At 45.2% G+C, this 13,739-nt stretch overlaps 1 protein-coding gene across 18 annotated transcripts in view, besides 1 other annotated feature; it reads right to left on the bottom strand.

Annotated features, from left to right (window-relative positions):
- The window catches only part of MBP (myelin basic protein), a 154,876-nt gene that overhangs the window by 94,453 nt on the left and 46,684 nt on the right, over nucleotides 1–13,739 (bottom strand). The gene's annotated exons all lie outside the window — the stretch shown is intronic.
- Nucleotides 6,971–7,020: an enhancer, noted in NCBI's record as "active region_13524". NCBI's record gives its function as "activates an Ori minimal core promoter by ATAC-STARR-seq in GM12878 lymphoblastoid cells {active_cell/tissue: GM12878}" and the evidence as "EXISTENCE:reporter gene assay evidence [ECO:0000049][PMID:35858748]".

The raw sequence follows: 13,739 nt of genomic DNA on the forward strand, positions 1-13,739 counted from the left end.
TCAACACTAGGCTCATGTTAAGAACAGTGGCACATTTGAGATTTTATCTACCCGAAAGCTAAGTTTTGTGGATGCTCATGAAGGAATGAGATTCCTGGGTCAGAGACAAAGGGTGGGTTATTATTCACAGCAGTAGCAACATTTCACCATTTTGACATGAGTTCCCTAATACCCAGTTCACACAGGAGCCATGCGAATGGGCCCAGGTGGCTGTCTGCATGCAGTGGGTTGAGTGGCAGGAGAGGAATGCCCATCTAGGAAACCTGAATCCTTTAGAACTGTCAGTAGCTACGCCAGTGCCCTGCTCCGCAGGGAGACACTATATCTCCCAAGACCTGTTATTTGCTGCAGATAGACACTCTCTCTATCTTCCTAGCCTGTTCATTATGTAAACATCCTGGAAAAAATAGTCCAGAATACGGGTGGATCCTGCCTGGCTTGCAGGACATGCAGACCTGTGGAAGGTTATCTCCCAGCAACTGGTTATGTAAGAGGTGACCTGCTGAAAACTAACAACTGCTCTTCAGCCAGCTCGATGGGTGTATTCTCTTGCCTTCCGCCAGTTCACAGCCAAACCCAACTTCACACATTTTATTCTCAAGCTAAAAGATCACCATGATATCTGTTACTTTAGATGTACTTATCGGAAACGAAATGAGATAGACTTTCACAATTAGAAAGACTTTAGAGACCAGCCCAACCACTCTTCTCACCACTAAGGCCAGGAGTAGTGATGCTGACTTGTGCACACTCACAGGGTCCTTAGCTCAGAGATGAGACTGAAACCTTGGGCAAATGCACAGAAAGGGTTGCTTCTGATCTGAACACAGGTCTGAGGATTTCGCAGCCCCTCAGTCTGGGGGTCCTTGGAGGTAGACAGTGCCCACGTGGGGGCTTCAATTTTTCTGTTTCTCCCACTTTTAGGCTTAGCTGCTTCTGGAAAGGGCCATGAGACTTGTGCTGATGGTGGGGTCAGAAGACAATGGGTTCAGTGAGCCCGGGTCTCCCCAAGGGGGTTCAGTGAGCCCCGGTCTCAAGGGGGTTCAGTGAGCCCGGGTCTCAAGGGGGTTCAGTGAGCCTGGGTCTCAAGGGAAATGGATAGATTTCTAAGTTAACTTCTCCAAGGGAGTCAGAGACTTCAGGGTTGAGGTCATATGTATCACACTTTCGTAGGATTCTTTTTCTTTGGTCAAGACAACAGGACTATAAGCCTGTGATATGGAAAGGCCATAAGAATTTGGCAGCAAGCTACAAGGAGAACTAGGCTTCAGTGTCTGGCCCCCATCCAGGCCTGGGAGGAGGAGATGCTCGGGGAACATGGCGAGAGTGGTGGGGTCAAAGGAAAACAAATGGGGGCCACTGTGGGAAGGAAAGGGAAGCCAGGCACAGCTGGGGCGGAACCAAAGTCCACGATTTCATGGGAAATCGATTCCCAGACACAGCCTGCATTCCTCAACCTCAGTTCAGTGCAGAACGCCCTTATAATTGCATAACTGTTGGAGTACCATTGGCACCACTGGCAGTGCCTGCCTAGGTGGTCTCTGTCTAATATGCAGTGCAAATGAACAGCCAGTAAGAAACATTCATGTAAAGATCACAGCAACTAAATAGAAAATTACAGACAAAAGTTTTAATTTACCTGTAATCAGTTTACTAGATCATGTTTACATTATCCACATGTTCTAGGCAATACTATCTTGGATTTAAAAAAACTGTGGGTGTTTAAAGAGGATACTGCAGGAAAAACAAACCTCTAAATAAATAAAAGCCTATCTGATAGAGCTTCTGAGATCTCAATCCCTCCTCTCCAAGATCCAGAATGGAGGAGAAAGGGCTTCTGTCACGGCAGGTGGAATCACTGAAGTATCTACTCTCTTGCCCTTTTTGTCTGGAAGCTTCTCCCAGGGATGGAATCACTTTCTGGAGATGCAGTTTCTGCATCAAATAGGGTGCATTTATTAATTACCTTTGAGCAAAATGAGTGAATTTTTGCACAAACCATTAAACTATGTTTTTGTTATAGCTAACATTAAAATGGAATTGATAAGAGAAAACACTCTTACTCCTCTTAAAAGTATAATGAAATGTGTAATACATTTAGCCATCCATCAAAACGCCCATCACACACATTGCTGGCCTAGAGAACGCCTGACACGTCCAGACGGCAGCGAGAAGGTGGGTCCTCTGTCCCCTCCAGGAGCAGCGGGCTGAAGGTGGAGTGGCGCTGAAGCTCCCAGGGTGGGGGAGAGGATGGGGTTGAGGGTGCAGCCATCTGATTTTGATATGCAAGCCCCTCTTTGACTATAGCAGAGAGAAGAAAACTGCTGAAACATGATGATGTTTTGCTTAGGGACAAAATGGTTTCTATTGAAGACCCGCGTGAACTCATCTTGAATGCCCACATGGAAGAGCTCTGTTTAACGTCCTCAGAACAGGTGCTTTTCAATGCACAGGAGCCAGTCAGCCATAAAAATGTGCACACCGCACTAATGGGGACTTCCATATAAAACAATATTAAAATCCAATGGAAGAGATTAGGCTAAGAGTGGAAATGAAACTAGGCATTATACTATTAGGCTGCAAATTGTGGGGTGAACATTACTATTAGGCCCTTGCTGGTCTCAGGGGACTGTTGGCCTCTGGAGGCAACGGGCATAAAATGCTGATCTGAATATCATACCTTAATGCATATGGAGGGATTCGATTACATTTATCATGAACCTTCGCAATCTCAAACTTTGATTCGAATAAATCAAAGAGCACTGTGAGTGTGAGTTACGGAATGGCAGTGACGGTTTATGCTATTCAACTGACAGCCTGTGATTCAGAATCCACTGCCTGCCTCTCAGTGTGATGCATGAAAGAGGGCTGCTGGGTTTGGACACTTGTCCCACGGAGAAGTGAGCCCGTTTCCCTTTCCTGGAATTGGACTGGCGCTGGTGGTCCTGCTAACACAGTGGGGTGGGTTTGGCACTATGCTGGCACTTGGCCTGACCTTGATGAGGACCAGCCACTTCCACCGTGGCCTCTTGAGTCAACAGGTGGGCCGTTTGAGTGCCCCACAGGGGAGTCCACCTGGGGAGGCTCTGAGGCCACATGGAGAGGGGAGCCCAGTAGGGCAGTTTTTCAGCAGCTTCCCCTGGCCCAGCTGCACCTGCAGAGGGCTTGGGCCATGCCAAGGCCTCAGCTGCCCTCTGAGAGCATCGAGGCGGCACCGTCGCTGCTGAGTCCTGCCTGAATTCCAGCTCACAAAATCCTGAGACCTAATGAAGCTGCTGCTGCTTCAGTGCTGAGGTTTGGAATCATTTGTTCTGTAGCAATGCAAAGCAGGAACGACTGTGCCAGCGGCTGTTTCATGTCCTTCCACTCTTCCTGACCTTCCACAGAGCAGTTATTAAATATATTGGTGACCACTCAAGTTAAAAACATGTTCAATGATTCTTGAAAAAAGGGCCACTCACATAAACTTTTGAGTATGAGGTTAAACACACACCTGATTCCAGCAAGTAGGCACGAAAACCACCAGGAGAAGCTCAAGCTCCCAGACCACAGGGACCAGTGCTGAGAGCATTCTGGAGCCAGGCGCCGAGGCACCAATCCCAACCCCACCCTTAATAGCTTTGCGATCAAGGGCAAGTGGCTTAGTGTCTCTGTGCCTCTGTTTCCTTGTTTGTACAAGAGTGAGAATAATAGTACCTCTTATTGTTATCAGGAAGATGAAGAGAGTTAATATTTATAAAGTGCCTGGCACAGAATTAGTGCCGTGTGTTTGGTATAAAATTAAAATAAAACAGGCCAGGTGTGGTGGCTCATACCTGTAATCCCAGCACTTTGGGAGGTTGAGGCGGGAGGATCACCCGAGGTCAGGAGTTCAAGACCAGCCTGGCCAACATGGTGAAACCCTGTCACTACTAAAAATACAAAAAATTAGCTGGGCGTGGTGGTGGGCACCTGTAATCCTGGCTACTCGGGAGGCTGAGGCAGGAGAATTGCTTGAACCTGGGAAGCGGAGGTTGCAGTGAGCACTGCAGGCTGCACTCCAGCCAGGGCAACAAGAGTGAGACTCCGTCGCAAAAAAAAAAAAAAAAAAATTAAAACAATTCTTTTCTTGATCCTTCTTCTGAAAATACTTTCCCCTGCAAACTAGTGTCCAAGGCTGGCACCTACACTAGGTGACTCCCAGGCCCTCACTGCATTCTAAACCATTTCCCCAAAATGTCTGGGTAGATGACAAGGCAAATAACTCTAGACACCTGTTAAAGAAAAGACACAGCATAGCCCTGTGGTGGGGCAGGGTCCTTGCTTGGACTGGGTTTTGCTGAGGGATTTAAGTCCGTGACTCCTCGATGCTGGGCCGGCCCGGGGCGGTGGCCTCAGAAGGGCCTGCAGAGCTGTCCTGCACCCACGAGATTCTTGCTTCCTGGTCTACACTCTCACAGGTGACTCTCAGCACAGTTAGGACTCGGAACTACTCATTAGGGTAATCCCAGAAAAACATGTCACAAAACTAACAATTTTCTTTGGAAAATAAGGCACATTATAGAATCTAAACTTAACCAGGATCACCAAGGGAGGATTGCTATTTTAATTCGGGGAGAGTGCAGGTCTTATATTTGCCAATTTCTAGACTGAGGTCAAGAGACAGGTAATGGAACCATCCCTGTGGAGGGATTATCCCCGGGCCATCCTCCCGAGAGCTGCACCCCCCTGCCCCGGCCTCTCCAGGGAGGGCTGACTGCAGACCCACGTGCCCGCCATGGGCCTCCTTATCTCCCAGCCCCAGCAGCTGAAGGACAGTCACCTGCTCTAACAGTGGAAGATGCATTTTCATGGCTAATCCCAAACCAACCCTCAAACCCTCTCATCTGTCTTGTGATGTGTCTCAACATCTTACGTGTTCAGGAGATGCGCTCATGCTGTGTGAGTCACTTTCCAGGTCATAAAGCAACACAGCCACATGGCAAACGGCATCTTCCGAGGGGCTGAAAGCTGCTTTTTGTCTACCTTCCTACCTCCACTTTCAACCGCCACGTTCCCTCCCTGTCATTCTACCACCCGCTCTCCCAGGTTTCTTGCTGTCTGATTACCCAATTCCCAGGAATGAAGGAAGTTTTTAATATTCTGAAGCTGCTCTTCAGCCCTTCCCGTAAGTCCTCCTGTGACAACTTCTGGAGAAGGGAGTAGAAAGAAGGTTCATGTCAAAAACTGCTCATCAGCTCCAGCTCCAGCAGAAGATCCCATAAAGTTGTTTACTGCTCTCACTATCTTTGCGTTCAGCCAGAATCAGGAAATTCGAAGCCGTCTTCCCATGAGGATATGGCTGGAGCCTGGAGAACTCATTTCTCTGGAAGTTGTCACATGAGGACTTGAGCTGTGGACTGAAGAGCAACTCCAGAGTTGGAGAGAGCAGATCCGCAGAGTGGGGGCACATTCCTGACAGGTGAGTTCCATCCCGTGCCCTGTGCTGGGGCTCTGCTCCTCTCTCCTGTCTTGGCTGGCAGGGGCTGCCCCTGGGGTCGGGTGGACTCCACCAATGAGGATGCCCCAATCCTGTGCTCTGGTCCCTGCCTGTGACCCAGTGGAGCTGGGAGCCCCAGGCGGGCTCAGCACTGGGACTCCAGGAGCCTGGCTGTGCCCTGGGCACTCCTGCCCAGCACCCTCCCAAGACTGTGGCTCCATGAGCCCAGGGATGAGTCAGGCGCTCAGCCATCACTGAGCCCAGCAGGAGAGGAGACTTGAAAGCAGGAGTGTCCCACAGGAGGGCACATCATCCCCAGCCCTGACAAACGACCAACCCTTTGAGTCCCCAGCCTCAAGGCTGCAGAGTTGGCAGAAAGAAGGAGACGGTTCCAACGTGCTCAGAGTGGCTGGTAAAGGGTCTTTCGGACCAGGGGTAGCAGGCCTAGGACTATTTCTCTGAGAAGAGGACATCACCCAAGAGCAGCCACCTGGTACACTAAGGTTGGAGGGACGCTGAGCTCTTAACCCTGATGGGCAGATGGCAGTGCCCAGGCAGGCAGTGGCACCTGGCGGGCACTGGGCAGTACCACCCATGGCCACGGCCACTGTGGGGGAGCAGGGCTTAGGGCAAAGCTCAAACATGTAGGTTTGGAGATAAATAGAACAAGTCAGTTTCTCACCAGGACATACAATGTTTAGGGAGAATTATGGAATCTCTCAAAGGTAAATTCTCTCACTTTGCATTTCCTTACTGGGTAATGAGATTGCGCATATTTTCATGTGCTAATTGGCTATCTGTATCTCTTCAGAGGTAAGCAGGAAGAAGAATAATAAATATTATAATAGCACACACACAGTTTATTTGCTTGCTGATATTTCAGTTCTGCAATATTATTCTTATTCCTATAAATAATAAATATTATTCCTATTCCTTCATTTAGGAATATTAAAAACTTCCTTGATTTCTTTATCTCTCAAAGGTAAATTCTCTCTCTCGCTTTCTCTAGTTCTCTTTTTAAGAAGCAAATATTCCTTCCACACTCAGAATAAATTCAGGTTCTGTGTGGGTTGGTTGTATATACAATTTAGTTTAAATTCATATGTCACTGTTCTTCAATTAAATCTCAGAATAGGGGAGGAGAAGCACCTTACAGCAACCGGTACTGCAACTCTCTCCGGGATTGAACGGTTCTTCACCAACTAGAGTGCAAGAAGCGAGAATCAAGTCTACTAGTATTTTATGTGGATGGAAAAAAACGCATGTTTTTTAAACCTAAATCTGGTGATAAACTGTATTTGAAATCCTTTAAGAACTGAAGTATCAGCCCAGGAATAAACTGTGTGTGTGCTGTCATAAAAATAGTTCTTATAACCTTGCAAACTTATTGGTCAGCATTTTTTGTTTCTTTAAAAAAAAATCATAGTTTTATTCTTGCTCTAGACTGGATTTCCATAAGTAATAAAAGATGCTAGTAAAACACGGAAAGCTTTTAGGAGCAGAGGACAGAATATGAAGGAAAATGAAAATAAGAATTGCACAAACAGGCTCATTTCAAAGGCATCCCCTTTCTCTGCAGAATCAGAACAGGATGCGGACGGTAAGGCTTGAGGGCAGCCCGGAGGCTGTCCCAGCCACACTGGGCTCCTCACCTGGGGCCCTGCTGGCATCTGGGGTGGATGATTGTTTGTTGTGAGGCAGAGGCTGCCCTGCGTGGCGGGGTGTTTGGCCTCCACCCACTAGATGCTGGTAGCATACCCTGCGTTGACAACCAGACCGTCTGCAGGCATTGGCAGATGTCCCGTAGGGGCAAATCACACCTCATTAACGGCCCTTGGTCTAGACACAGGAGTACTAGAGAGGAAGTGAAAGCTGCCAATCCATTTCCTAGTATACTTGGTGGCATCACAGTTTTCATAAACACACTTTTTATATTTTATTTATTATTTATTTTTTTTATGATGAAGTCTCACTCTCTCACCCAGGCTGGAGTGCAGTGGTACAATCTCAGCTCACTGCAACCTCTGCCTCCTGGGTTCGAGCAATTCTCCTGCCTCAGCCTCCCGAGTAGCTGGATTACAGGTGCTCGCCACCACGCCCAGCTAACTGTTGTATTTTTAGTAGAGACAGGGTTTCACCATGTTGGCCAGGCTGGTCTCGAACTCCTGACCTCAAGTGATTCACCCGCCTCAACCTCCCAAAGTGCTGGGACTACAGGCGTGAGTCACTGCCCCCAGCCAAGACACTTTTTTTTAATCAAAACTCTACTTTTAACAAACTGTAGAAATGATCCCTGAAAGTATAGTCTTAAAACTCAACTTTTAAAACAATAATTTGAAAGAAGGGACAACACTCAGGAGTAGAGACTGACTGGAGGTGGGAAGTTACCTCAGTCCTTAAAACAAGTGCCTCCTGGGCGGCAGCTCTTAGAGATGACACGGAAGCATGAACAATGGAAGAAACCACAGATCAGTGAGACTATTAACATGGAGAACCTTTGACACTGTCGAGAAAGGGACAGACAACCCGGAGAAGTGGTGAAAATATTTGCAAATCACATCTGACAAAGATCATGTATCCAGAATATGTAAAGAATTCCTACAACTCAACAACAAAAAGACAAAAACCCAAGTTCGAAAGATGGGGAAAAAATTTGAATAGACATTTCTTTAAAAAAGATACACAAATGACCAGTTAGCACATGAAAAAATGCTCAACGTTATTACGCAGTAAGGAAATGCAAATCAAACCACCATGAGATACCACCTATAGGATGGCTAGAATCAAAAAGACTAATGGCAGCTGCTGGTGAGGATGTGGTGAAGTTGGAATTCATGTACATTGCTAGTGGGAAGTAAGTGGACTCTGTGGAAGGAAGTTTGGCAGTTCCTCAAAAACTGAAACATAAAGTTACCACATGACCCACAACTCCACTCCTAAGAATACACCCAAGAGAAATAAAAACAGATGTCCACACAGAGCTTATACAGGGATTTTCATAGCAGCATATATATATATATATATACACACACACACACACACACACACACGTATATATATATGCACACACATATATACACACACACACACACACACACATATATATATATATATTTTTTTTTTTTTGAGACGGAGTCTCGCTCTGTCGCACAGGCTGGAGTGCAGTGGCATGATCTTGGCTCACTGCAAGCTCTGCCTCCCGGGTTCACGCCATTCTCCTGCCTCAGCCTCCCAAGTAGCTGGGACTACAGGTGCCCGCCACAACGCCTGGCTAATTTTTTTGTATTTTTAGTAGAGACGGGGTTTCACTGTGTTAGCCGGGATGGTTTCGATCTCCTGACCTTGTGATCCGCCCGCCTCGGCCTCCCAAAGTGCTGGGATTACAGGCGTGAGCCACTGCGCCCGGCCCATAGCAGCATATTTTATAATAGCCGCAAGGTAGAAACTACCTAAATGTCCATCAACTAGTCAATGAATAAATAAAATATGAGATAGTCCTACAGTGGGATATTATTCAGCAATAAAAAGGAATGAAGGACTGGTACGTGCTACACCATGGATGAGCCTTGAAAGCATTACACTACGTGAAAGAAGCCACTCGCAAAAACCCGCCTTTTCATGTAAGATTCCATAAGTATGAAAAGTCCAGAACAGGCACATTATAGACACTGAGAGTACATTAGTTGTTATCTTGGGTTGGGGAATAGGATGAGGTCGGGTGGGGTTGGGCAGTGGCTGCTCATAGGTATGGAGTTTCTTTCAGGGCTGACAAAAATGTATTAAAATCAGATTGTGGTGATGGTTGCACAATCCTGTGAATGTACTGAAAGCATGGACATGTACACACCAGTGCGCACCCAATAGCCAGGACCCAGTGAGATGCTGACTGGGCATGCGGCTCAGGGAAGAACCATGAAGGACGAAGAATCCTTCCTCCCTGCAGCAGCTGGACCAGGTGGTCTAGGGGACGCCATGTGGCTCAGAAGGATGAGGAATCCTTCCTCCCTGCAGCAGCAGCTGGACCAGGTGGTCTGGGGGACGCCATGTGGCTCAGAAGGATGAAGAATCCTTCCTCCCTGCAGCAGCTGGCTGTCATAGGTGGTCTAGGGAATGCCATGTGGTTCAGTGCCAGGATCCCAGACTGGTTTTGAAATGTGGGGAATTAACATTTAAGGAGACTAACTATTCTCTTTAACTAATTGCTAGTCTGGCTATTCTGCTTCGGGATAGAGTATTTTTTTTTTTTCTTGAGACACAGTCTTGTTCCGTCACCCAGGCTAGAGTGAAGTGGCACAATCTTAGCTCACTGCAACTCCACCTCCTGGATTTGAACGATTCTCATGCCTCAGCCCCCCGAGTAGCTGGGACCACCATGCCCTGCTAAGATTTTTTTTCCTATTTTTAGTAAAAACAGGGTTTTGCCACGTTGGCCAGGCTGGTCTTGAACTCCTGACCTCAAGTGATCTGCCCGCCTTGGCCTCCCAATGTGCTGGGCTTACAGACGTGAGCCATCATGCCCCACCTAGAGTGGTTATTTGAATGGGTTTATGAGTAAAGGTTCAGTAAATACTTCCTGATCAACCCTGAGGACCCAGAGGAAAATTACAACGACGTCCAGGACCCTTTTCTTTGACCTTTTCTTTCGACAAAGTTTTGACAAATTTTGATAGTATCAGAGGAAAACACAGGAAGCACTTTTGATAACATGAGTATATCAGAATTCAGGATTTGTTTTTAAAGAAACTACACAGGAGAAATAAAAACGTGTCCACATAAAAAGTTGCACTTGAGTTTTTGTTTATAGCAGTGTTATTCATGATAGCCAAAAAAGTATAAACACAAACATCTACCAACAGATGAATGGGTTAACAAAATGTGGTATATCTATACAATGGAATATTACTTAGCTATATTTTAATATAATAGATAAAAAAGAATAAAGCACTGATATATGCTGTAACATGGATGAATCCTGAAAACATCATGTTACATGAAAGAATCTGGACACTAAAGATCATGGAAATCATTCCACTCAGACGTAATATCTGAAAGAGCGAACCCTACAGACAAGAAGTGAGCCGGTGATTGCTGAGGGCTGTAGGAGGGATGGGAGGGATTGCTAGAAGGCACAGGTTTCTTTTGGAGGTGAAGTCAATGTTGTAAAATGGACTGTTGGGATAGTTGCACGTATCCAGTAAACAAGACTGCATTGTACACCTTAAGTGGGTGAATTGTATGTCATTTGAATTACATCTCAATAAAGCTGTTTTTTTTTTTAAAAAACCCATAAACGCTCAGTTTATGGGTAGTTAAAAATGAAACATTGTAGCATTATTGAAAGGGCATTTGGAACCACATGTTGGAGGGAACTCAGGAAGCCATTTTCCCACAGACAACATTACTTAGATTAGTAAATGGCCCTTTCAGTTTAAAGCCACACTCTTTGTGAGATCATTTTGTAGTGTAATTAAGATGGCAGTGTGTAAATAATGAGTACTGTGAAGCTTGTCAGAATCAAAATGGAGTCACTTAGGTTAAAATGCTGAAAAATGAAGCCAGGGAAGGCCACGAAGGGAGGATTTTCATGCATAAATAAATGCCTGATGACAAGAGCTGCTACAAAAGACTGCGAAAACCACAACCCTGCAAAAAGACCATCACAACACCGCCCCCCCCGCCACACCACACCACACACACACACACACACACACACACACACACACACACACTTCCGTGAGGACAGTTGCCCAGCAACTGCCTGTCCGGCCTCCAGCTGGCACCGCCCTTGCTATTGATCCTTGTAGCCAAGGATCATTATGTCAGAACAATGTATAATCCTCCTTATTTTTCCTTAAAAAAGCTTTGTCTTCTCTCACCTCCCGGAATGCACACATAGCTTACCATGGCACATGTATTCCCATTGCAATGCAATTCCTAGATAAACATGGTTTTTTAGAGTCTTTCTGTTTGTTATCTAGGTTGACAATACAAAGAAATGTGCTCAGAATATTATTTAAACACTGTCTTCTAGAAATTACAGCCAAGCAAACATTAACCAGTGTCACCATCAGACTGTTTATCAAGGTCTGTTATGTAACTGGACATACTTCTATTTTAGGAACACAAAATACTCTGCCATTTATTCCTGGAAGCCACCGCTCCATCAGCTGGTTAAGTAAAATAAGAAGGATGATCACATTAAGAAGGGGGAGGGGGGAGAGAGAGAGAGAGAGAGAGAGATTGATTCAGTGTGGCTCTTTTACTACAAGAGTTTGATAGTTGAGTGAATTTCAAGTTTGAATAAAATGCACTTAAAGCTAATTCATGTAAGGTTAAGGGCCGTTATTCAGTTCAAAAGAATATTGCACATTATTAAAAACAGAGGAATGCAATGGAATACTCCAATCTTCTTAATTTGATGGTGAATACCCTTCCTTTAGTTTCATATAATTAAAAAAAAAACAGTCCTACTTAATTCCCCAGAACATATTCCCCTGTGCCTACATGTGTTTCTGTATTGAACTGTGTCCTATAATGCAGATGTGGTAGAAGGGCAATAGGTCAAATATACAAAGAAAGATCTTTGCTCAAAAGACAGTAACAGAGAAAAAGGATGTACCCTTCTCTGAATGTGTAGCTTGGCCCTGCCAATCTTCTTATCTCTTTAGTTTCTCTCCCACTGTGGAATAGGCAGAATGATATTTTCTATCTCACAGGGTCACTGTGAACATTGAATGATCTCATGGCCCTTTTAGGGCTCATGTAAGGCTCATGACAGTATCTGGTGCTCAGCTAGCGCGGAGCCAATGCCACGTGTCACCATTATGTTTTTACTGTCATTCATCTTCTGATTGTTTTCCATAGTCAGGCCTTTGGAAAGGTGAACATAAAATCTTCTTAAGTAAAAACCAGGTTTTAATGTGAGCATCAGTGCAATAAGTTTTTTTTTTTTTTTTTTTGAGACAGAGTCTTGCTCTGTCACCCAGGCTGGAGAGCAGTGGCGCAATTTCGGCTCACCGCAACCTCCACCTCCCGGTTTCAAGCAATTCTCCTGCCTCAGCCTCCTGAGTAGCTGGGATTACAGGCGTCCACCACCACGCCGGCTAATTTTTGTATTTTTAGTAGAAACGGGGTTTCACCATGTTGGCCAGGATGGTCTCGATCTCCTGACCTCGTGATCCACCTGCCTCAGCCTCCCAAAGTGCTGGGATTACAGGTGTGAACCACCGCGCCCGGCCCTCAGTGCAATAAGGAGAGAGAGAGTGACAGACAGACAGACAAACAGAGAGAGAGAGAGACTGATTCTAACTGCATCTGCATTCTAGTTCCCTTACCTAAAGGAGCAAACTCAGAACGCAAAATGGAACTGCCATGATCTCTGCAGATGCCTTTCTTCAAAGCTGAGTTCTGCTATCCCTGTGATCAGAAAGATGAATCATCAGAACAGCAAATCTGTTCCAACTTGTCCTAAGAGCTGGAGGAACCCAGACCAGGCTAATGCTTGTTCCTACCCATTCAAGAGCAAAATTAGTCACCCTGACTTTATTAAGTAACTGCATGTGTTCCAAAGAGTTCATGCATACAAGTGCGAATAGATGCCAACCATCACGATCAATTAGGGACAATTCCTCATTTTCAAGAGTCTAAACAGGATATTCTCTGCAAATCCACATTCTGGAGAAATGTTGTTTTTCAGGCCACAGATGTTCTCTAGCCTTGTAGTGGGTAATCAAATCAAGTTAGAATATGGTTACACGAAGATGCAAGTCATAAAAATACTGAAAAACCTCTCTATGGAGCATTCAACTCATTCTCACAGGTCACACAACTAATCTATCCAGGAATAATGCAGATTAAATGGGTTTCTCTGAGTTATTCATGAAACAATACTTCTATTTTAAGCGCTAAGGGAATTATGACTTCAAAGAAAAATCAATCTCCTAGTCTTTATAGTTTAATGCACATTATTACAAGCTCAAGAACAAACCATAAAAAACCGATTTTCTTTTACATGTTGAGGAGTTGGCAAAAAAGGCATGAGCTATTATAATGTTCCTAAACAGAACATCTAAATATTTTGTATTCCAACAATGACAGGAAAAGAGTGTCTTAAGAACAGCTCGTCAAAAGGAAGCAGTATACGCTCCTCTAATGTTCTCCAGACACCACGTCATAGTTCACTTCGAAACGCATTGCAATAAACCACTTTTTAAAAAGACTAAAATTGCCACGGAAGAATAGGCGATCCACCAAATGTTACATTCAATCTGTTTTATTTGAA

This window comes from Homo sapiens, chromosome 18, assembly GCF_000001405.40.
Source record: "Homo sapiens chromosome 18, GRCh38.p14 Primary Assembly".
NCBI lineage: Eukaryota > Metazoa > Chordata > Mammalia > Primates > Hominidae > Homo > Homo sapiens.